Source organism: Homo sapiens, chromosome 14 (genome assembly GCF_000001405.40).
Source record: "Homo sapiens chromosome 14, GRCh38.p14 Primary Assembly".
Classification (NCBI taxonomy): domain Eukaryota; kingdom Metazoa; phylum Chordata; class Mammalia; order Primates; family Hominidae; genus Homo; species Homo sapiens.
Genome location: NC_000014.9, coordinates 34,972,872 through 34,997,182, shown reverse-complemented (window position 1 = coordinate 34,997,182; position 24,311 = coordinate 34,972,872). Strand labels below are relative to the sequence as shown.

At 41.4% G+C, this 24,311-nt stretch overlaps 1 protein-coding gene and 1 long non-coding RNA gene across 5 annotated transcripts in view, besides 7 other annotated features; one reads left to right on the top strand and one right to left on the bottom strand.

The window, feature by feature from the left end:
* SRP54 (signal recognition particle 54) overlaps nt 1–14,191 on the bottom strand; it is a 46,576-nt gene extending 32,385 nt beyond the window's left edge. For 3 of the 4 annotated variants that reach the window (NM_003136.4, NM_001411017.1, NM_001146282.2), the window contains exons 1-2: nt 13,968–14,191; nt 396–506 (exon numbers count right to left, since the gene is read on the bottom strand). In NM_003136.4, the coding sequence (NP_003127.1) occupies nt 396–473 (78 nt within the window). In that variant the 5' untranslated portion in view covers nt 474–506; nt 13,968–14,191. Of the gene's footprint in view, nt 1–395; nt 507–3,740; nt 3,940–13,967 lie in introns of those variants that run through there. The other variant, NM_001440813.1, reaches the window with a different exon arrangement.
* Nucleotides 13,721–13,980: an enhancer, noted in NCBI's record as "active region_8259". NCBI's record gives its function as "activates an Ori minimal core promoter by ATAC-STARR-seq in GM12878 lymphoblastoid cells {active_cell/tissue: GM12878}" and the evidence as "EXISTENCE:reporter gene assay evidence [ECO:0000049][PMID:35858748]".
* Nucleotides 14,011–14,510: an enhancer, noted in NCBI's record as "active region_8258". NCBI's record gives its function as "activates an Ori minimal core promoter by ATAC-STARR-seq in GM12878 lymphoblastoid cells {active_cell/tissue: GM12878}" and the evidence as "EXISTENCE:reporter gene assay evidence [ECO:0000049][PMID:35858748]".
* Nucleotides 14,011–14,872: a biological region, named in NCBI's record as "H3K27ac hESC enhancer GRCh37_chr14:35451517-35452218".
* Nucleotides 14,171–14,872: an enhancer, noted in NCBI's record as "H3K27ac hESC enhancer chr14:35451517-35452218 (GRCh37/hg19 assembly coordinates)". NCBI's record gives its function as "activates a minimal SCP1, AML or CMV promoter by ChIP-STARR-seq in naive H9 embryonic stem cells {active_cell/tissue: H9 hESC(naive)}" and the evidence as "EXISTENCE:reporter gene assay evidence [ECO:0000049][PMID:30033119]".
* Nucleotides 14,617–24,311, top strand: part of SRP54-AS1 (SRP54 antisense RNA 1) — a 66,087-nt gene continuing 56,392 nt past the window's right edge. Inside the window, exon 1 of the long non-coding RNA NR_151701.1 lies at nt 14,617–14,759. This is a non-coding gene — a long non-coding RNA (SRP54 antisense RNA 1). The remainder of the gene's footprint in view (nt 14,760–24,311) is intronic.
* Nucleotides 14,691–14,780: an enhancer, noted in NCBI's record as "active region_8257". NCBI's record gives its function as "activates an Ori minimal core promoter by ATAC-STARR-seq in GM12878 lymphoblastoid cells {active_cell/tissue: GM12878}" and the evidence as "EXISTENCE:reporter gene assay evidence [ECO:0000049][PMID:35858748]".
* Nucleotides 14,991–15,040: an enhancer, noted in NCBI's record as "active region_8256". NCBI's record gives its function as "activates an Ori minimal core promoter by ATAC-STARR-seq in GM12878 lymphoblastoid cells {active_cell/tissue: GM12878}" and the evidence as "EXISTENCE:reporter gene assay evidence [ECO:0000049][PMID:35858748]".
* Nucleotides 15,926–16,220: a silencer, noted in NCBI's record as "tiled region #9881; K562 Repressive DNase unmatched - State 2:TssF". NCBI's record gives its function as "represses a minimal TATA promoter and a strong SV40 promoter by Sharpr-MPRA in K562 cells {active_cell/tissue: K562}" and the evidence as "EXISTENCE:reporter gene assay evidence [ECO:0000049][PMID:27701403]".

Here is a 24,311-nt window from a genome sequence, read left to right as displayed (position 1 = left end):
AAGTCACAAAGAAAAGGACAGATAAGCACAGGCCTAGCCAAGAAGAAAGAAGCAGAGTAATGAAATTTTAGGTCTATATCAATAAAGAAAACAAAAGTACAGTTCCAGATTTAAGCCACTTTCAAAAGATAAAATATGTTATTTTTACATGTAAGTTAAGGTCAGGTTTTTTTCGATTTTTTTTTGGAAAATTCTTTATAGAAAGTTGAAGTAAATTTGAAGTTGTAGTTAATTTCTCAATAAAACACTACTTACTGTATCCACTTTTAGGCTTTTATCTACAAGTATTAAGTCTACATCAAAATACATATAAATACAGGGATTATGAATAAGCCATCTTCCCAATGCTAGTGACAATATACAATCATATATATTTCATACAATATTTTACATACCTCTTCATTGATAATGGTGGCATTGCTCAACGAGCGTAATGCTGATGTTATTTTTCTTCCAAGGTCTGCTAGAACCATCTTGACAGCTTTAAGATGTACTTACGAAGAACTCTACAGCAGAAAAAAAATTAAGTGAGAATAATCAATTTCACTTCCCATGACTGAAGAGTTCTAAAGAGTATTTAAGTTCAAATTACTCTAGTGTTTAGATACTGTAAGATCACCTTCCATAGCCTCAACCTGTGCTTAAATACAGTCATGTCATAAAGATAAAACTGCTACTTGGTTATGATGCCTTATATTTGAATACTTAATTGGAATCTTGTATATGAATCAGCAAATTTAACATGTCAAATACCATACTTTGAGGAAATAATGACATAATCTCACATTAAATATGTTCTTTTTTTGGCACAATACTTATGAATAACTGAATTATGTATCATGCACATTTTTAAATTAAAAGAGGAGAAAAAGGTGAAATCTCCAGGAATACTGCCTAATTTCCCACATTAAAGGACTCTGCAAACTATTTTGATTCTTGCTCCTAAGCAAAAAAAAGAAAAAAGGTTTTAATAACTTTTCTAGTACAAAAAAAGCAACTGTTCAGCTATCAGCTATATCGAAGCGCTATACTAAGTGATTCCACATACATTATTTCATTTTATTCTTCTAACCACAAAGGAAAGAGGTATATTATTTTACTCTTTTTTTTTTTTTTTTGAGACAGGGTCTCACTCTGTCACCCAAGCTGGAGTGCAGTGGTGTGATCACAGCTGACTGCAGCCTCAACTTCCTGGGCGCAGGAAATCCTCCTGCCTTAGCCCCCCAAGTAGCTGGGACCACAGGTGCATGCCACCATGCCCAGCTAATTTTTATTATCTGTAGAGACGGGGTCTCACTATGTTATGTTGCCAAGGCTGGTTCTCTTCCCATTTTAAACCTGTTTCTGATTCCAGGAAAACTCTAAAATAGGATAATGATTTAAGTTATCATTTATTATTAATAAGAATTATTAGAAAAAGCCCTTGATGAGGAACCGAAAATAAAATTCTGATCCTGGTTCTTCCAAAAAATAGTCACATGCAACAGACTTTCTGTTTCAGTTAACTAAGAGTCAAAAACCCTTTCCAGCTCTAAAATCTTACTGTTTTATAAAAGTATTACATATTAGATGTACTTACTACTTGTAAGGATGCAAGGGCTTATGGATGATAAACAAGCAAATATGATTTGTAGTCCCTGCCCTCAAGATGCTTACCTACTAGCTGGTAAGACAAGGCACACAAATGAACACTAAAATAAACACTAAGAGAGAATTCCTCCTGTCTGACTGCTAACAGGGACATCAGCTTTTCTTGCCTTCAAACTGAAACACTGGTTCTTTGTGGGTCTCAAGCCTTTGGATTAAAACTACATCAATGGCTCTCTGAGTTCTCAGGCCTTCAGATTCAGACTGGATCTACACCATGGGCTCTCCTGGGTCTCCAGCTTGCCAACTCATCCTACAGATCTTGAAACTTAAGTCTCCATAACGGCCTGAGCCAATTCCTTATAATAAATACATATCTTTATATCCATTTCTCCCTCTCTCTCTCTACACACACACACACACACACACACACACACACACACACACACACACACACACACCCTTTATTGATTCTGCTTCTCTGGAACAAGAAAAAAAAAAAAAGGAAAAAAAAGGCCAGGTACAGTGGCTCATGTCTGTAATCCCAGCACTTTGGGAGGCCAAGGAAGGAGGATCACTTGGGCTCAGGAGTTGGAAACCAGCCTGGGCAACATAGCAGGCAGGACTTCAACTCTTAAAAAAAAAAAAAAAAAAAAAAAAAAAGTAGCCAGGCATGGCGGCATGTGCCTGTAGTCCCAGCTACTCGGGAGGGTGAGGGGAGGATTGCTTGAGCCAAGGAGGTCATGATCACACCACTGCACTCCATCCAGCCTGGGTGACAGAGTGAGACTCTGTCTCCACAAAAAAAGAAAACAGAAAAGGAAGAATTTTAGACTAAGGCAGAGAGTATAGGCTTTATTGGAAAGACTGAGTATGAATTTGGTCCTGAAATAAGAGTAGAATTTGAGTAAGTGGAGAAGACAAAAGGGAATTTGAGGAAGATGAAATAGCATAAGCAGAAATGGAGAGAGAGGTAAGTCTGGGACATACTTATGCCTTATATATGCACTGTACTTATGGATCACTGAGCATTATTTAGGGGACAGGAAACAAAACATTCTGCTTAGGACAGAGGTGTATACAGTTAGAAGGAAACAGAGATTTCAAAGGGCTCTAAAAACACGGTCTGGGGAATATCAATTTTCCAATATGAACAATATTAGCAGAAAAGGTAACTCTTCAAAACAACTGTTTTGGTAACCCTTCCAAACTAATGTAGTCTAATTTAGTCAACCAAGATTATCCAGACTAGATCCCTTCTACAGAATACACAGGAGATTAAAAATAAGAGAAACAGCACCAGGCGTGGTGGCTCACGCCTGTAATCCCAGCACTTTGGGAGGCCGAGGTGGGTGGATCATCTGAGGTCAGGAGTTCGAGACCAGCCTGGCCAACATGGCAAAACCCTATCTCTACTAAAAATACAAAAAAAAAATTAGCTGGGCATGGTGGCAGGCACCTTTAATTCCAGCTACTCAGAAGGCTGAGGCAGGAGAATCGCTTGAAGATGGGAGGCAGAGGTTACAGTGAGCTGAGATCGCGCCACTGCACTCAGCCTGGGCAACAAGAGAGAAAGTCCGTATTAAAAAAAATAAATTTTGGGCCAGGTGCGGTGGCTCATGCCTGTAATCTCAGCACTTTGGGAGGCCGAGGCAGGCGGATCACCTGAGGTTGGGAGTTCGAGACCACCCTGACCAAAATGGAGAAACCCCGTCTCTACTAAAAATACAAAATTAGCCAGGTATGGTGGCACATGCCTGTAATGCCAGCTACTTGGGAGGCTGAGACAGGTGAATCGCTTGAACCCGGGAGGTGGAGATTGCGGTGAGCTGGAGATCATGCCATTGCACTCCAGCCTGGGCAACAAGAGTGAAACTCCATCTCAATAAATAAATAAATTAATTAATTAATTTTAAGACAAACAGGAAGATGAAATAGCTGACTCATTCACCATAGAGAAAGTAAAGAGGTGAGAGGAATCATAAAAAGGCAGGAAGGGAAAATGCATTTGAGGACCTATCACTGGCAAACAGATATCCCAGGCTGAGCTACAAATTAAACACTACACTTTCACTCAAGTACAATTTGGTAATTTAGAACTTAAAAAAAACTTACTACCAATACTTGATGAAATTGAAAAAAAAATTGCTTACCATAAGATTTTTTTACAATTACATTGTTACTTAACCTGAGAGCCAACCACCTCATGGAAAAGATCCAGGACTTTTTATTTCTTATGCCATACCCATTATACAAAATAATTATTGATCCTTAAATTAATATTCTTCATTTAAGAAATAAGATTCAGATGTTTCAGTTTATATCCTTCACCATGGTGGTACTGGGAGTGATAGAATCCTATTTATGACACCACAATTAACTTTTTTAGAGGTCATGTCATAAACAGATCATCTTTCATTTTAAAAAGCTATACTAAGCCAGGCATGGTGGTTTACGCCTATAATCCCAGCACTCTGGGAGGCCAAGGCAGGCAGATTGCTTGAGGTTGGGAGTTCAAGACCAGTCTAGCCAACATGGTGAAACCCCATCTCTACAAAATATACAAAACTTGGCCGGGTATGGTGGTGCACTCCGGTAGTCCCAGCTACTCAGGAGTGTGAGGCAGGAGAATCACTTGAACCCAGGAGGTGGAGGTTGCAATGAGCCGAGATCACATCACTGTGATGAGATGGAGTGAGACTCCATCTCCAAATAAATAAATAAATAAATAAATAAATAAGCCATACTAGTTAACTTTTTGGGGGGGCAAACTTTAGGAAGTGTCTTTAATTTTTTTAATTAATTTATTTTAGATTCAGAGGGTACATGTGTATGTTTGTTACACTGGTATACTGTGTAATGGTGGGGACTGGACTTATACACACATGACCCAAATATTGAACCTTGAACCCAAGAGGTACTTTTTCAATCCTCAGTCTTCTCCCAAACTCTTCCATTTTGGAATGGTCTGTGTCTACTACTTTCGTCTTTATGTCCATGGGTACCTATGTTTAGCTCTCACTTATAAGTGAGAACATGAGATACTTGATTTTCTGTTTCTGAATTAGTTCTCTTAGGATAATGGCCTCCTGCTCCATCCATGTTGCTGCAAAGGACATGATTTCATTCTTTTTATGGCTGCCTAGTAAATTCTTAAATATAAATCTAACTTTCCATGTTAACTGGTTGTTTTAAATTTAAAAATTTTAAAAACTTCTGTGAGGTTTTCCAATATACTTTTCCTTCTGCAAGTAGTTACTGGCAGTGTGTATTTTAAAACATTTTTGCCTTAAATTTAAAAAATATATTTTATTATATAATACATGAATACATATAGTTTTAATATATAAAATAACAAAATCTGTCCGGGCCCAGTGGCTCACGCCTGTAATCCCAGCACTTTGGGAGGCCAAGGCGGGTGGATCACCTGAAGTCAGGAGTTCAAGGCCAGCCTGGTCAACATGGCGAAACCCCATCTCTACTAAAAACACAAAAATTAGCCAGGCTTGGTGGCAGATGCCTGTAATCCCAGCTACTCTGGAGACTGAGGCAGGAGAATTGCTTGAACCAGGAGGCGGAGGTTGCAGTGAGCCGAGATGGTGCCACTGCACTCCAGCCTGGATGACAAGAGCAAAACTCCGTCTTAAAACACAAAACACAAAAACAAAATAAAATCCTGCATTTCAGTAGAGGAGTAAGAACATCTAATAATACCTTTAACTTACAGTGTTTCCTCTACAATGTCCAAGGATGATGTGTTCCTGAAAACTCCGTGTTAGAATTTTGCTTAAAATCTCAATGACTTCCATTGCACACAGATGTAAAGTCCTCAGAATGGACTGTAAGGCCCCCTCCACCCCCCACCCCCAACACACACGCATGACTGATTTTAATCATACTGACCTCCTTGCTATTGCTGCTACACATTTCCACCTCAGTGTCTCGGTACTAGCCAGCATGCTCTTCCTCTGCTTGACAACATAACTCCCTCCCTCATTTCCTTCAGATTTGTCCAGATGCCATTTCTCAATGAGGTCTTCCCTAATCACTTATTTAAAACTGCAACCCTCTTCCCTTTATTTTTTCCTATTGTTCTATTATCAACTGACATATGGCTTATTTATATTATTTGTCACCTATAATCTCACTATTGAAATGTAAGCTGTGGCCAGGTGTGGTGGCTCATGCCTGTAATCCCAGCACTTTGGGAGGCCGAGGTGAGTGGATTGCCTGAGGTCAGGAGTTCGAGACCAGCCTGGCCAACATGGTGAAACCCCATCTCTACTGAAAATACAAAAATTAGCCAGGCGCGGTGGCAGATGCCTGTAATCCCAGGTACTCAGAAGGCTGAGGCATGAGAATCGCTTGAACCCAGGAGGTGGAGGTTACAGTGAGCCCAGATCGTGCCACTGCACTCCAGCCTGGGTGAAAGAGCAAAACTCCATCTCAACAACAACAACAACAACAAAAAAAAAAAAAAAAAAAAGAAAAGAAATTTAACCTGCACAAGGGCAGGGATTTTTGCCTCTTTTGCTTTCTCCTGTGAGCTCACTGCTTTATCTATCCTCAGCCTTATACAGTAAATCCTTAATAAAAATGAACATTATGAATGAATGAAATGATGTATTTAAGGCCTTAGGGAAAAAGCGAGACCAGAGAACTAAAGTCATGAAAGGCACTGCAAATATCTTTAAAAGCCACTAAAATAAATCAATGAAGATAATATGATGAATCAAAAGAAAAACAATAACTTGGGTAATTTGTACTGTACATTAAATATATTTATTTGTCATTACTTATAATTCTTCTTCAGAATTTCCCTGCCATGCATTTCCAACAAGATACTTAAAAATTAACCTCACCTTGTTCTAATATGTACACTAAAGTGAAAAATACCTTTTGTATGTTAATAGCTAAGCCTAAATCTCAGGTTGGAGTAATCTACAATTCAAGTACACTCTCAAGATTCTCTTGCCTAACTAAAACGATTTATAGAAATAAATCTGTATATGCTAGAATTTCACAAAGGAAGAATCTCTACTTAGATGGGGCTTTTAGAAAGGTAAGAGATTACCACACAGTACTTTCTTACAGTTGAACATCTATTATCTCATTTCACTCTTACAACAATTTTATGATATAAGCAGGATAGGGAATAGAACAGCCGTTCCCTGCCAAAAAAAAGCAAAATGACTTCCCATAGTCCTTTGGCTAGAGTATGAATGAAGCTTTAAATTATAGGGTTGAATACACCTGCTGGAAACTGCAAGGACAAATTTTGCTGCTATGCTATAATAGAAGAAATCACATTTTAATCATATTTAAAGATGTATATTCCTCTTTGTGGAGGAGTAATTGCAACGTTCAGAAAGAAATGATAACTATCACTGCAATCAGACCAGTACATACAAGGACTGATCCTGGCTCGAGTCACAGGGTCTTCTAACTGGGGTCTGACTAGGATTTGGATAGTAAGCAATAGAAACAGGCTGAAGTTTTGGGTGCCCTAAGTAAGGCAATCACAGGGCCAAGTATCACACTTACTTGCTGCAGTGTGAAGTACTGGAAAGAGCATAGATTTTGGAGTCTGACAGACTTAGATTCAAATCCTAGCTCTGTTACATACTGGCTGTGTTACTTTGGGCAAGTTACTTAATCTCTCTGAGCCTCACTTTCCTCACTTGCAAAATGAAGATACCATTACCAAGGTAGTTACCCTGAAGGGCTGTTGTGAGGATTAAATGAGACAATACATATAAAGCTGTCTTCAAAAACCTAGCATATTAACTATTAACTTCCTTTCTTTTTTTAATGATACCAACTATCTCTCTCTGTATTATATGGAGTGTAAGTAAGCTGGAAATTTTCTGAACAATCTTACAGAAGTGTCTGTCCCATCATTCAGGAACCACTCCTGGAATCTTTAAAATTTAGTGGCAATTACAACTGCCAGATTATTATTCAACAGAAGCTGCAGTGTCCAAAAACCCACCTTTCTCTACATAAACAATTATAAATATTCCTGCCAGATTTGCCTGATCTGAGATTATATAAACAGAGTCTAATGATTAGCTATGTCAAATCCTATTACAACATAATCCCTACAAAAAAGTTCTTTTTTTTTTTGAGACAGAGTTTTGCTCTTGTTGCCCAGGCTGGAGTGCAATGGGGCAATCTCAGCTCACTGCAACCTCCCGAGCAGCTAGGATTACAGGTGCCCACCACCACGCCCAGGTAATTTTTTGTATTTTTAGTAGAGACAGGGTTTCACCATGTTGGTCAGGCTGGTCTTGAACTCCTGACCTCAGGTGATCCACCCACCGTGGCCTCCCAAAGTGCTCGGATTATAGACAGGCATGAGCCACTGCACCTGGCCAAAAGTCCTTTCTTCTAAGTCCTTGTCAATGACTTTTTGAATCAATATTAGCCTCAAGAACTAAATATACTTAGAAAAATTACTTCTACATAGTACAGTCAGCCTTCTGTATCTGGGGCTTCACAACCATGGATTCAACCAACTACAAATCAAAACATTCAGAAAAAAAATTGTGTCTCTAGTGAACATGTACAGACTTTTCTTGTCATTATTCCCTAAACAATACAGTATAACAAGTATTTTCTTAAGGATATAAATATGGTATAACAACTATTTACATTTTGTATTAGGTATTGATCTAGAGATGCTTTAAAGTACATGGAAGGATGTGCATAGGTCATATGCAAATACTACACCATTTTACATCAGGGACTTGAGCATCCTCTGATTTTGGTCCTGGAATCAATCCCCCCCAGATAGCAAGAGACAACTGTATACTTTTCTATAAAGCAGTCAAAGGCTAATAACCAGTATTTGCTTTTCTGACTTTAATACTAAATATTTTTCTTAATTCTGCACAGCATATGTGTTCACAGTCTAGGACCACAGAAAAGTAAATTTAGTTAACAAAATGGCCTATAGGTATTGTATTTAGTAAAATATATACATTATATATATATATGTTATATATATATATATATTTTTTTTTTTTTTTTTTTGAGATGGAGTCTCACTCTGTCGCCAGGCTGGAGTGCAGTGGTGTGATCTCAGCTCACTGCAACCTCCACCTCCTGGGTTCAAGAGATTCTCCTGCCTCAGCTTTCTGAGTAGCTGGGACTACAGGCGCATGCCACCACACCCACCTAATTTTTGTATTTTTAGTAGAGACGGGGTTTCACCATGTTGGCCAGGATGGTCTCGACCTCTTGACCTCGTGATCCACCCACCTCAGCCTCCCAAAGTGCTAGGATTACAGGCGTGAACCACCGCACCCAGCTTAGTGAAATATATTTTAATGACTAATTTTACAATGTTAATTATGACTTTCAAATTTAGGAACTGTTTTTCATGCTGAATCTACTTATTCCCCAAGGAAATAATTCACCTTTATGTTCTGTGATTACAAAATGATGTATCTTCACTGTAAAAGTTAAAACATTACAGAAATATTTAAGGTAGAAAATATAATTCCCCTAATTCTACCCACTCCCATACCATGGTAACAACCAATAATAATCTGGTATATATTAATATGGATTGTATTTTCTAGGTATATTAATTTAAGCAAGGTTTCCCAAGAATTTATGGTTTTGGCGGGGAGTAAAGAGGGGAGCAAAAATTAGGAAAATTCTTTTGTAAAATATGCTTGCTAATGCTAAAAACAGGCTTAAATGCAAAAGGCAGACTACAAAACTGCATATGTAGTATAATCCATATTTTGTTAAACACAGTCTAAAAACAAGTATTAAAAAATATTAGCCATCAGGGAATTGTAAATCAAAATCTTAATAAGATATCATCCAAATACTTGTACATGAATGGTCAGAGCAGCATTATTCATAATAGCCAAAAAGTAGAAACAACCCAAATATCCTTCAACTTATGAACGGATAAGTAAAATGTAGAATAAAATACAAAGGTATATCACTAGGCAATAAAAAGAAATGAAGTACTGAACATATGCCACAACATGGATTAATCTTCGAAACATAAGTGAAAAAACCCAGTCACAAAAGATCACATATTATGGTTCCACATGAATTGTTCAGAATACATAAATCTACAGAGACAGAAAGTGGATTAATAGTTGCTTAGGGCTCAGGAGATGGAGTAAAATAGGGAATGATTGCTAATAGGTATGGGGTTTCTTCATGGGATAATAAAAATGTACGAAAATTGATTATGGTGATAGTTGCGTAACTTTGTAAATACACTATAATCCTTTCAATTGTACACTTTAGGTGAACTAAGAATTATGTGTGTGTGTGTGTGTATATATATATACACACACACACACACATATATATATATATTTTTTTTTTTTTTTTTCAGATGTAGTGTCTCTCTGTCACCCAGGCTAGAGTGCAGTGGCAAGATCTCGGCTCACTGCAATATCTGCCTTCTGGATTCAAGCGATTCTCCTGCCTCAGCCTCCCGTGTAGCTGGGACTACATGGAGTGCCACCATGCTCGGCTAATTTTTTGTATTTTTAGTAGAGATGGGGTTTCACCTTGTTAGCCAGGATGCTCTGGATCTCCTGACCTTGTGATCTGCCTGCCTTGGCCTCCCAAAGTGTTGGGACAGGCTTAAGCCACCGCACCCAGCCAAGAATTATATTTTAATAAACTGTTAAAATAACATTTGTTATCTCTGGATGATGAATAACTAGCAATTTTTTTTTTTTGAGACAGAGTCTCACTCTGTGCCCACTGGAGTGCAGTGGCACAATCTCGGCTCACTGCAACCTCTGCCCTCCGAGTTCAAGCGATTCTCCTGCCTTGGCCTCCCAAGTAGCTGGGATTACAGGTGCCTGCCACCACACCCAGCTAATTTTTTATATTTGTAGTAGAGATGGGTTTTCACTATCTTGGCCAGGCTGGTCTTGAACTCCTGACATCATGATCCACCCGCCTCAGCCTCCCAAAGTGCTGGGATTACAGGCGTGAGCCACCACGACCAGCAATTTTTATTTTCTTATATCTTTTTCTAATTTCCAATTTTTTAGTAATGACTGAGAACACTATTTTTTAAGTCAAGGGAAAATTATTTTCCAAAGCGTTCCTTGTGAGAATTAGAGTGCAACTAGTCAACAGACTAGAGGTTGGGATGGAGCTGCCACTTGTATTCATTTACTCATTCATTAAACACCTACTATGTACTCCAGAAATTGTCCCAGCATGAGAGAAGTTCTAATTCCTAATCAAATATAACAGTTTAACACAAGACTCCCTTCAAAAGATAAATTATGCATCATACCACCTCTGTCTTAACTTAGCACCAAAGATTATATTCAATTATATCAAGAAGTATCAAGCAACTTTCTCTTCATTAAAGTAATTGTTTTTCAAATTTTAAAACTCATTTTATGTAAAATAATATCACAGCACCAATTCGTACTTTTGCAGCAAAAAAGGTATACCAAAAAAAAAGTCAATTAGCAACAAGAGGTAATAACTCAGGAACACTGGGAATCATTTCTTTACGATACTTTCTGGCTATGAGGTCAACCATAAAAAGAATCTTTACATAAAATGCTACCAAGAAGAAAATTAAAACGAAAATCAAAAGAATTCCTTGGAAAGTTGGCCTTAACATTGAAAAGAAAAAGGAAAAGTGAAAAATAAAAAAGGAAAAGGAGGGATAAGAGGCATATGCTCAAGCAATGCGTTATTTCAATGACATTTAGATAATGCCTATCAGTAAAAATTAAATGCTCAATCAGACTCTCCAGAGATAGTAAGGTAAAAAAGTTTTAGGGGGAGTAGCTTCATCTAAATTCTTAATCTGGAGTGCAAAACAAGACATTTATGTTTTGAAAACTTTCACTAGCTATATTGATGTGCAGCAAGGGTTCATAATCACTATATTAAGTATTTAATAACATGTCCCAAAGAAAACAACAGAATGAGAAATCTGTTCTATACCTTAGAAACATCTTTAGATACAGTGTAACAAATACATTGGAGGGAAAAAACTGAAGAGCCAGGACACTACATGCACTACCCATACTCCATAAGGCTAGTTGAGACAAGATGTGGCCTTGAACTAGAGAAAAAGAAACTAGGGTTAAGGGCTAATTCATGAAGCAGAATCTAATGACCAAATGGTTATGGCAAGTGAAGGAAAAAAGAGGCAAAAATGATTCCAATATCTCTAGTTTTTATAACCAGATGGCTAGTGATGCCATTAACCAATGAATGGAAGGCAAAAAGGGAAGGTGGTTTGAAAGTCAGAGGAGTTAATAGAGAAGAGGTCAAAGGGACTTAATGTATTATTTTTAATGTTTCACTTTTTATGAAGGATGTGTACATAGATGTTCATTTCATTATCCCTCCAACTAGCTGGGACTACAGGCGGCGCCACTAAGCCTGGCTAATTTTTGTCTCTTTTGTTGAGACAGGGAGTTTCGCCATGTTACCCAAGCTGGTCTCGAACTCTTGAGCTAAAGCAATCTGCCAGCCTCAGCCTCCCAAAGTATTGGGATTACAGGCGTGAGCCATTGCTCACAGCCCTTATAATCCTTTTAAAAATTTAACCTACTTGTATCACAAAATTCAACCAGAGGTCAAAACTCAAAAACGCACTGACAATCACTGCTTTTATACACTTTCGTATGCATGACATATGTCATAGTGAAAAAAAAAAAAAAAAGGAAGGTGAAGACAGTGCATTTGGTTTTGGACCTAATGAGTTTGCAAGTTTTAGGGGAAAGTACAGAACTATCAACTCATGAGATGGAGGCTAAAGAATAAGGTTTAGGCAGGGCATGGTGGCTCACACCTGTAATCCCAGCACTTTGGGAGGCCGAAGCAGGCGGATCACTTCAGGTCAGGAGTTCAAGACCAACCTGGCCAACATGGTGGAACCCCATCTCTACTAAAAACACAAAAATTAGCTGGGCGTGGTGGCAGGCACCTGTAATCCCAGCTACTCGGAAGGCTGAGGCAGGAGAATTGCTTGAACCTGGGAGGCGGAGGTTGCAGTGAGCCGAGATGGTGCCTCGGTACTCCAGTCTGGGCGACAGAGCAAATAAGGTTTGGAAAAGAACAAGGTTTGGAAATGAAAAGAATAAGGTTTGGACATGGTTGGCATATAGGGACAATGCCATGGAAGCAAGCGAGAAGCCTCGAGGAGAGCCTGTGGAAGACCATTTGGGTTATAGCAATGACTGAGGGCCAACTAAAAGGACGGCGTTAACCAAGACTGAAAATAACCAAAGAGATAGGAGCTTTTACTAATTCCCTTTCCCTTTCTCCATGGCACATAGGAGAAAATCAATTTTTAAAAAGCTACATTTATGGTTATCTTACTGTAATCCTGTGGCAGGTCCAGAATTTCCAAATAGATGGGGACAGAGGAGTAATCTGGAAGGAAGACTTGAAGATGCTTTTGCATAGTACTCTATATTAAGGTAGAAAATACCAGTTGGCCATATCAAAAAACTGAGAAAAAGCGATTTGAGGGAAATATTTCCCTCCCCTTTGGCACCACGATTGCTGTATTCTAGGCACTAAACCAAACCAAACCTCTTACCTAATCTCCTTTCTTCCTCAAAACAAGCCTATTAAGTAGATGAGGAAATTGAGGCTAGATTGGAATAGAAACTGGCTCAGGGTCACAAAGCACCTAAGGAGCACTTTAGCTCTCCCACAGCTTTCTACAGCTCTTTATATGCAACTAGTGTTTCTCATTACCCATCTTGATATAATGTGTATTTATGTGCGTTAGCTTCTCAATGGCAGAGTTAGTGTTATTCATTTCTGTATCCTTGTAGCCAAGAACAAGTATATATTTTGTTAAATTAAGCATGTGAAAGAATCAGGTGAGGATAGCATGAAGAAAGGCAGCAGGGGAAAGTTTCAAGAAATGGATGGTCAGCAGCGTCAAATGGTACAGAGAGAGCTATCAGTCTATCTTAAATCATCATTGGCATTCAACTGATATTCCATATTCGTTTATTGAACGTCTACTACACGCAGGACATTGTGTTAAGCACTACAAACACATAGGAAAAATAAAAGTCTCGTACAAGTAAAAGGATTTTCGGGGAAGTAGCTTCATCTAAATTCTTGCTCAGGAAAGCAAAACGAAGACTCAGGCCTGCAACTGCCTACATCTTATTTGGCTCAGGTAAATCGGAAGACAACTCAAAAGGGGCACAGCGCATCTTTAATAAAACTTCTCATGGAAGACGAGATAAAGAGCCACAGAAACTCAGTCTCGGTAACGATGGCCGGTGGCCACGGAGGCCGACTTCCCCCGGAGTCTCTCGCCTCCTGAGCAGCGCTGGGGCTGCCCCTCGCTCCCCCTCCGTAGTCTGGGGCGGGAAAAAGCAGACACTTACCGCAAAAGACACCGCTAAAGCCGTGGCCCTGAGGGGCCGGGAATTCCTTAGCGAGGCCCCACGCCGTCGGAAGAAACCCAAGAAAGCTGGGAGCAGACAGACAGGTATGACCCCACAACCCAACTTCCCGAACTAGATAAAGTAGGGTCCCAACGCCCAGCACCACGTCGTCAACTCCCACCAGCTGGAAGACCAACGGAGTGCCAGCGAACCTTCCGCCCAATGAGGAAACGTCACCACTCCGCGTAGTCCAGCCTTTCTATAGGAGAATCTACTTCCGCTTCCGGGGCACACCGCCGCGTTCCTTCTACGCGGCTCCTGAAACAGTTTAGATGTTTACTTGCTTACACTGGTTTTTGGTTTCAGTTTCCTACCGCTGAATAACTGCAGGAGTAAAGTTAGTGGTAAAATAGGAGGCTGTCTAGGGACGTGATTTCGGGGAAGAAGTCAGGCCTCGACGAGCCACCTTAAGAAAAGTGACTAGGCGGAGCACTCCCAGCTAAGAGCGGAAAGATGAGAGATAGAGGTGTGACTGAAGGCAGGGATCCCCAGGCGCACGTGAGACCTCCGTAGAGGGGCGGGGCTTAGGGCTTTGCAGACCGGAGGCTTGTTCCGCGGAGGGTGGGGCGGTCTCTGCTTGCGCATGCGCAATGCCAGCCAGTGCCTGCGCGGCTTGCTCCAGCAAGGTAAAATTTCCCACTGCGAGGCAGGCAGTGATGCTGCGGCCGCTTCGCACTGTGGCTCCTGCCGACCGCCAGGCGCTGTTACAGTGGATGCGAACTAACCGTAAGTGTAAGTGACCAGAGCTAGAGGCAGGTGGTGGGGGCAAGGATATGCTGCAGGCGCTGACTTTGAGGACTTAAGCGGGGTGAAGCCAACAGCCTTCCTTGGGATCGTTGTGCTGGTCTCTGCTGTCTTGGGGGGTAGATTGACCAGGGCTTTGAGTGCTCTAACGGAAAAGAGAGTTAGTTGCTCGCCACACGTAGACACCAATTAACAAGAGCGAGCCCTAGTATACAAGAAGAGGGATTTTATTTCTGAAGCCAGCCCGCTTCGTCTTTGGAGCAAAAAAGCGGGCATTTTATAAGGTACAAGAGGAAATGAGCAAGAGGTCTCTGCTAGCTGGTGCCTTATCTACCGGGTAGTTGAGTTGGTGCATTTCTGAGCAGAAATAAGTTGTAAAAGTGGCCAAGTGGGCATGCTTTCTGCTTACCCTTCTGAGGCGACCGCCTGGCGGTGGGAGTTGCGTCTTGGATCTCGTAGATGAATTTGCTCTGTAGAGAATGGTCTGGTGAGGGGAGTTGAGAGGTTATTTTGCAGTTCAAAAAGGGCTAAGTGGAAAGTGTAGTGGGGAGGGGAAAAGAGGGGAAAAAATAAACTATCTCTTGGAAAATGGGGGTAATCGGATACAGTACCACTTGGAATTAATTGGGTGTGGGAAACCTGGTTCTGAGTGGTTTGTGAGTTTTCAGCAGACTTCGGACAAGCCTTTAGAGCTCCTTGTGCCTAACCCTTTTTCTGAAAGAAAATAGAGGGTTAGCCCTCCTCCCCATTACTCCCACAAACTTGTTAGAATTGGTACGTTGCCACCTGAAAAAGCATTTTGCAGGAGAGGTTTTAGGCTGTAGCGTTAGTAGGAAGTGTTAAACGAAAAACCTTAGCCAAGTTAAATTTAACATTTTGAGCAAAGAATGATTCACGAATCGGGCAGGCTCAGAGAGATTGCAGCGCAGCCAAGTGTTGAAGATTTATAGACAGAAAAAGGCTGCAGTGAGCTTTGATCCCGCTGCTTCACTCCAGCCTGAGCGACGCAAGACCCTGTCTCTTTAAACACACACGTTAAAACTGAGGAAATGTGGTAGCTAGATCTAGTTACTGAAAAATGGGATAGATGTATTCTGGCAAAGTAAAGCCTGATGAAAGCTCAAGAAAATAGGATATTCTTATGTTTGTTAACTATAGCAAACTATCCTATGCCTGTATGCGAGAGTGTGTGTGTGTGTGTGTGTGTGTGTGTGTGTGTGTGTGTGTATGTGTGTGTATTTATTTTTTGAGACAGAGTTTCACTCTTGTTGCCCAGGCGGGGCTGCAGTGGCGCCATCCAGCTCACTGCAACCTCCACCTCCCTGATTCGAGCGATTTTGAGTGGCTGGGATTACAGGCGTCCGCCACCACGCCCGGCTCATTTTTGTATTTGTAGTAGAGACGGAGTTTCACCATGTTTCCCAGGCTGGTCCCAAACTGCTGACCTCAGGTGATCTTCCTGCCTGGGCCTCCCAGAGTGCTGGGATTGCAGGCGTGAGCCACCACGCCTGGCCACTATGCCTGTATTTTGCTGAATGGTGATTTCCATGGTTATTTTTATCCAAGCTCATGACTTGAAATGTCATTGTTAGCTGATGACTTACAATTTTAGATTTTTAACCTCGACCTCTTAAAATTCTTTGTGATGTTAGAGTCAGTAGGTTTAGATATTATAATTAACATTATTACACATTTTAGGAGTCATTTTAGATAAGATGTCAAACTGAAGATAACAGGAACATCTGCTAGTGAGATTTGACCTGGAAAGTATAGAAAACCAGATACACAGCTTTGTTTATTTATTTATTTATTGAGACGGATTCTCAGTCTGTCGCCAGGCTGGAGTGCAGTAGCACGATCTTAGCTCATTGCAACCTCTGCCTTCTGGATTCAAGTGATTCTCCTGCCCCTGGAGTAGCTGGGATTACAGGCACGAACCACCGCGTCCAGCTAATTTTGGTATTTTTAGTAGAGACGGGGTTTTACTATGTTGGCTAGGCTGGTCTTGAACTCCTGACCTCGTGATCTGCCCTCCTCGTCCTCCCAAAGTGCTGGATTACTGGCATGAGCCACCGCACCCAGCCGGATACAGCTTTATTTCTATATACACAAAATCAAGATAATAATTTCCATAATATGCTGAGTCTCCTGTCACTTCATCTAAACCCTATGTTGCACATTTCTTTTTTGTTTTTGTTTTTGTTTTTGAGACGGAGTCTCGCTCTGTCCCCCAGGCTGGAGTGCAGTGGCGCAATCTTGGCTCACTGCAAGCTCCGCCTCCCGGGTTCACGCCATTCTCCTGCCTCAGCCTCCCGAGTAGCTGGGACTACAGGCGCCCGCCACCACGCCCGGCTAATTTTTTGTATTTTTAGTAGAGAGGGGGTTTCACCGTGTTGGCCAGGATGGTCTGGATCTGCTGACCTCGTGATCTGCCCGCCTCCGCCTTCCAAAGTGCTGGGATTACAGGCGTGAGCCACCGTGCTCGGCCGCACATTTCATTCTTCATATCCCATTTGTCAATAAAACAGCACCGATTTACATCTTTTTTTTCACATTCCTCAGCACAAGGTCATTTATTCTAAAAGCACTGAGTGCCTAGAAAGATGTCACATACTGCCTAGAGCTGGCAATTGTAAAATTACTAAAACATCTTTGCCCTCAAGATTTGTTTTGTGGAGCCATTTGCAATCTAAATTTTGATTTTTTTTTTCCTGTGTTTTGTTTGTTTTTGAGATAGGGTCTTTGTCACCCAGGCTGGAGTGCAGTGGCACCATCATAGCTCACTACAGCCTCACACTCTTGGCCTCAAGGGATCCTCCCACCTCAACCTCCTAAAGTGTTCAAATTACAGGCATGAGCCACTGTACCCAGCCTCAAATTTTAGAGATATCAGTTGAGACTCTATTTTTCAAAATCAGGAAGACTTGAAAGAACGTTTTGGATAATTTTGTAAACAAGAGCCAATATCACTGGCTAAAGAATATATTTTTACTTTTTTTTTTTTTTTTTGAGTCAGAGTCTTGCTGTCGCCCAGGCTGGAGTGCAATGGCACGATCTTGGCTCACCGCAACCTCCGCTTCCTGGGTTCAAGCGATTCTCCTGCCTCAGCCTCCTGAGTAGCTGAAACTACAGGCACGTGCCACCACGCCTGGCTAATTTTTTTGTATTTTTAGTGGAGACGGGGTTTCACCGTGTTAGCCAGGATGGTCTCAATCTCCTGACCTCGTGATCTGCCCGCCTCGGTCTTCCGAAGTGCTGGGATTACAAGCGTGAGCCACCGCGCTCGGCCCTATTTTTACTTTTTTTAAAGGTACTTTTTGTTGTTTTTAAAGAAAGGGTCTCACTCTGTCACCCAGGCTGGAGGCTGGTGTGCCGTGACACTGTTATAGCCCACTGCAGCTTTGACCTCCTGGGCTCAAGCAGTCCTCCTACCTCAGCATCCTGAGTACCTGAGTAGCTGGACTATGGTGCAAACCACCACACCCAGCTTTTTTAAATTTCCTGTAGAGACAGTGTCTCACTATGTTGCCCAGGCTGGTCTCAAACTCCTGGCCTCAAGAGATACTCCCACCTTGGCTTCCCAAAGTGCTGGGATTACAGGTGTGAGCCATCGTACCTGATCTAAAGGTACTTCTTGTGCCTCTCTTCAGCAGATCCTGTAGTGAGGAAGCTCAAGCAATTTGTTAAACAATTTAAAAAATAACTTGAGTTTCTGAAGAATGTTTATTAACCCGAATATTTTAAGAAGTGAGGCCGGGCATGTGGCCCACTCCTGTAATCGTAGCACTTTGGGAGGCCGAGGTAGGTGAATTGCCTAAGCTCAGGAATGTGAGACCAGCCTGGGCAACATAGTGAGAACCTGTCTCAAAAAAAAAAAAAAATTAAAAATTAAAAAAAATTTTAAGAAGTGAGAGTATCACTGAACTTAAAATAAAGGAGTATGGTTATTTATAATCCTTAAAAAAAGTAGTGTATTAGTATACCTTCTTTATTGTGGTAAAATATGTATAAAATAAAATTTACCATTTTGACCTTTTTTTTTTTCCTTCAGACAGAGTCTTGCTCTTTGCCCAGGCTAGAGTGCAATGGCACAATCTCGGCTCACTGCAACCTCTGCCTCCCAGGTTCAAGCGATTCTCCTGCCTCAACCTTCTGAGTAGCTGGGATTACAGGCGTGCACCACACCTGGCTAATTTTTGTATTTTTAGTAGAGATGGGGTTTCACCATGTTGGCCAAGCTGGTCTCGAGCACCTGACCTCGTGATCTGCCCACCTCAGCCTCCCAAAGTGCTGGGATTACAGGCGTGAGCCACCACGGCCAGACCATTTTGACCATTTTTTACTGTATAGTTAAGTGGCATTAAATATGTTCACGTTGTTTTGTAAATATCACTATTAATCTCCAGAACTCTTGTCTTCCCAAACTGAAACTCTTAGTATACCTTTTTATGAAGTGGTCTAAGTACAGCACAAAATATTCTTCTAAACAACCATTTTTCATTTTCCTAATTAGATTTCCTTTTGCCTGGGGAAATTTGTTTTTTTTTTTTTTTTTTTTTTGAGACGGAGTCTCGCTCTGTTGCCCAGGCTGGAGTGCAGCCTCCTGAGTAGCTGGGATTACTGGCACATGCCACCAAGTCCGGCTGATTTTTATATTTTTAGTAGAAGTGGGGTTTCACCATGTTGGCCAGGCTGGTCTCGAATTCCTGACCTCAGGTGATACGCCCATCTCGGCCTCCCAAAGTGCTGGGATTACAGGCCTGAGCCACTGTGCCTGGCCTCTCCTATAATTTTTAAATAAATTTTTAAACCTCTGGCATTAAGTCATTTAAATAATGTCTTGCATGACATTTGCCTAGACTTTTAATTTAAATTATAACTCTTCTTGAATTTTTATACCATTTGATGGAATAACAAAAGACAACGCTAGATGTTGAGTATGGCTTTGGTTTTGAGTTTCATAAGAGTTTATTAAAACTAGACAACATGGCTGTGTGCAGTGGCTCACGCCTGTAATCCTGGCACTTTGGGAGGCAAGGCAGGCAGATCACCTGAGGTCAGGAGTTTGAGACCAGCCTGGCCAACATGGTGAAACCCTGTCTCTACTAAAAATACAAAAACAAAAAATTAGCCAGGCATGATGGTGTGCACCTGTAGTCCCAGCTACTCGGGAGGCTGAGGCAAGAGAATTGCTTGAACCCAGGAGGCTGAGGTTGCAGTGAGCCAAGATTGCGCCACTGCACTCCAGCCTGGGCAACAGAGTGAGACGCCATCTCAAAAAAAAAAAGGAAAAAAGAAACATAAAACAAAGGTGGGAGCCTAGATGTTTCTTTGTACAGCTTAGGCTAGGAAATAATGAGCACTAGTGTCAGACAGGTAAACCAAGTCTGAGGGGCAATGCAGGCAAAAACAAGTTCCTCTCCCCCCAAAAAAAGATAAAAAGCAGTTAAAATACAGCAGTACTGGAACTCATTGATTCTGATCCTCTGGCAGAGTATCTTTTCCCTACTATTTTCCTGATGTGTATGAAGTGGGCTCTTGACCTAGATTTCAAAGTGTAGGAGACTGATTGCAATCCATTAAGTGAGGGGAGTTGAGAACCAGATCTGCAAATGGGGTCCCCAATAGGGCAAATAGAAAAGATACAATGCAACAGCAGTCTATTAACAAATTCTACTCTGAAGGCTCTCAGTATTTCCTGAATATGCAAAATAGAAATAAATGAGGACATTAAACCAATAACTCATACAAAGTCTCTCCTTTTCTTTTTTTTTTTTTTTTTTTTTTTTGAGATGGAGTCTTACTCTGTCACCCAGGCTGGAGTGCAGTGGCGCGATCTCAGCTCACTGCAAGCTCCACCTCCTGGGTTCACACCATTCTCCTGCCTCAGCCTCCTGAGTAGCTGGGACTACAGGCGCCTGCCACCACACCCGGCTAATTTTTTTGTATTTTTTTAGTAGAGACGGTGTTTCACCGTGTTAGCCAGGATGGTCTTGATCTCCTGACCTGCTGATCCGCCCCGCTCGGCCTCCCAAAGTGCTGGGATTACAGGTGTGGGCCACCGTGTCTGGCCCATGCCTGGCTAATTTTTGTATTTTTAGTAGAGACAGGGTTTCACCATGTTGGTTGATCTCCAGCTCCTGACCTCAGATGATCCGCTCACCTTGGCCTCCCAAAGTGCTGGGATTACAGGCATGAGCCACCGTGCTGGGCCTCTTCTTTTAGACAGTCTCGCTGTGTCACCCAGGCTGGAGTGCAGTGGTGTGAACACAGGGCTCACTGCAGCCTCAACTTCCCAAGTTCAAGTGAGCCTCCTCCCTCAGCCCAAGTAGCTGGGATTATAGGTGCGTGCCATCATACTTGGCCAATTGTTGCATTTTTTGGTAGTGACAGGGTTTCACCATGTTGCCCAGGGTGATCTCATACTCCTGAGCTCAATTATTTCACCAACCTCAGCCTCCCAAAGCACTGGGATTGCAGGTGTGAGCCACTGCGCCCAACTGCTCATACAGTTTCTATTAAGGATCAAGGTACAGAGGGTAGAAAATTAAGGTTTGCAGGAAGGAAATTAACCAGATAGTCAAGAAATATTTAAATGCTTAAAATAACAAGAGGTGACTAGACACTTACAGGAGATTCTCTGTATCCTTTGTTGTAAACACCTCAATTGAACATGTTGCTGAGCAGTAGCTACAGAGCTTTTATAGGTTCTACTAAATGAATATAATTGTACTTTTCTCTCAATCGCATTTGTTGTCTATTAAAAATGGCCAGGATATGTGAAAAGAATAATACATCATGGGCTAGTGGGTTTATCTCAGGAATGTCCTGTTGGTTTAACATTAGAAAATCAATGTAATTCACCAAATTTGCTAAAACATACATACAATCATACATCATGTAACAACAGGGACAGATTCTGAGAAATGCACTGTTAGGCCATTTCATTGTTGTGCGAGCATCATGGAATGTACAGTACTTACTCAAACCTAGATTGTATAGCCTGTTGCACCTTCTACAAACCTGTACAGCATGTTCCTGTAGCAACTGTAGGCAGTTGTAACACTATGGTTAGTATATGTGTATCTAAACATAGAAAAGGTACAGTAAAAATATGACATTGTAATCTTATGGGACCACCATGGTGTGTGCAGTCTGTCATTGATGGAAGTGTCATTATGTAGTACGTGACCGTATTTCAGAATTGTTAAGAGAGTGGGTTTTGGCCAGGCGCGGTGGCTCAAGCCTTTAATCCCAGCACTTTGGGAGGCTGAGATGGGCGGATCACCTGAGGTCAGTTCAAGACCAGCCTGACCAACATGGAGAAACCCCATCTCTACTAAAAATACAAAAAATTAGCCGGACGTGGTGGCACATGCCTGTAATCCCAGCTACTCAGGAGGCTGAGGCAGGAGAATTGCTTGAACCTGAGAGGCGGAGGTTGTGGTGAGCTGAGATGATGCCATTACACTCCAGCCTGGGCAATGAGAGCGAAACTCTGCCTCAAAAAAAAAAAAAAAAAAAAGAGGGTGGGTTTTAAATGTTCTCGACGCAGAGAAATAATAAATTTGGCCAGGTGCAGTGGCTCATGCCTGTAATCTCAGCACTTTGGGAGGCTGAGGCAGACAGATCACCTGAGGTCGGGAGTTCGAGACCAGCATGGAGAAACCCCATCTCTACTAAAAAAAAAATACAAAATTAGCCAGACGTGGTGGCGCATGCCTGTAATCCCAGCTACTCAGGAGGCTGAAACAGAAGAATCGCTTGAACCCGGAAGGTGGAGGTTGCGGCAAGCCGAGATCACGCCAATGCACTCCAGCCTGGGCAACAAGAGCAAAACTCCCTCCCAAGAAAAACAAAGAAATAATAAATATGTGGTGATGAATATGTTAGCCCGATTTGATCATTCTACAATGTATACATTCTACCCCATAAATATATACAATTATTATTTGTCAATTAAAAATAAAATTTTAAGAAAATGGCTGAGTAGACTTGTGATATGGAGGGCCTTAAAAATCTCAAGATTTGATACACTGAAAAATAGAAGATCATTAAAAGTTTGTAAGGAGAGGGAGTGATATAAAAGTGAGGTTTAAGCGAGATTCGTTTAGGTGAACAAGGTATTTTATAGTGGGGAGAAGCTGATATTGAGGAACTGGTTATGAGTTTGTAATGGTATTCAGAGTGTGAGATGATGACTATGGCTATGAGATAGTTGAATTGAGAATGAAGGGAAAATAGGTTTCAAAAGAAAAAGTGGTGGGACTGAATACCTGACTAGATACAAAAAGTGAGGTTTGATTCATAGGCTGTCAGCTTTGGGGACTTTTCTTTCCTCATATAATTAATTAGATGTAAGTAGGAAATTTTAAAGAATTGATTTTGCCCTTTAGAGAAGCTCTTCTTTCTCCATTCCCTTCCCCTCTACATATGTAATTTGAGGAAAGCTCTACTCTCCTTTAGGCAGCTGATTAGCACCTTCCTTTAATCTTTTTCCAAGCAACGTAGTATTACCACACATTTGCTGTTTATGTGTTAAGAGATGTTCCACCTCACTAGTAATTAAATAAATGCAAATTAACCAGGTTTTTTAGTTTTTTTATTTTTTCAGGTAGGATCTCACTCTGGTTGCCCAGGCTGGAGTGCAATCGTGTGATCACGGCTCGCTGCAGCCTTGACCTCCCAGGCTCAGGTGATCCTCCCACCTCAGCCTCCCAGGTAGCTGGGACTATAGGCATACACCACCATGCCCAGCTACTTTTTAATTTTTTTTGTAGAGATGGGGTTTCACCATGTTGCCCAGGCTGGTCTCAAACCCCTGGACTCAAGCGATCTGCCTGCCTTGGCCTCCCAAAGTGCTGGGATTACAGGTGTGAGCCACCGTACCCTGCCCAAGTTTGTTTTTATGGTAATATTCAGTGTTGTGAGGGTTTGATGAGACTTGTGTTCTTTTTTTTTATTTTATTTTTTATTTTTTGAGAGGGAGTCTCATGCCCAGGCTGGAGTGCAGTGGAGCCATCTCGGCTCGCTGCAACCTCCACCTCCCGGGTTCAAGGAATTCTTCTGCCTCATCCTCCCAAGTAACTAAGATTACAGGCATGTACCACCATGTCCAGCTAATTTTTGTAATTTAGTAGAGACAGGATTTTACCATGTTGGCCAGACTGGTCTCGAACTCCTGACCTCAAGTGCTCTGCCTGCCTCAGCCTCCCAAAGTGCTGGGATTACAGGCGTGAGCCACCACGCCCAGCCAGAGACTCGTGTTCTTTTTTATTTCTGTTAAACTGATGTCCTTCAAGAAAGAAAGAAATGTGCAAATGTGTAGGAAAAGCCTTTTCAATGTTGAAGCACTTCTAAGAATTTATAGTAAGGAAATAATCAGAGATGCAAAGAGATGATGTTTGTCAAAATGTTTGTTGCAGTATTCTCAGTTTTACACAATTATAACTATATTTAACTGTCTCAGGGTAGCAGTGAATGGTTAAATAGAGACTACACAGCCTTCAAAAGTAAAGTTTCCACTAATTTTAATTTTAA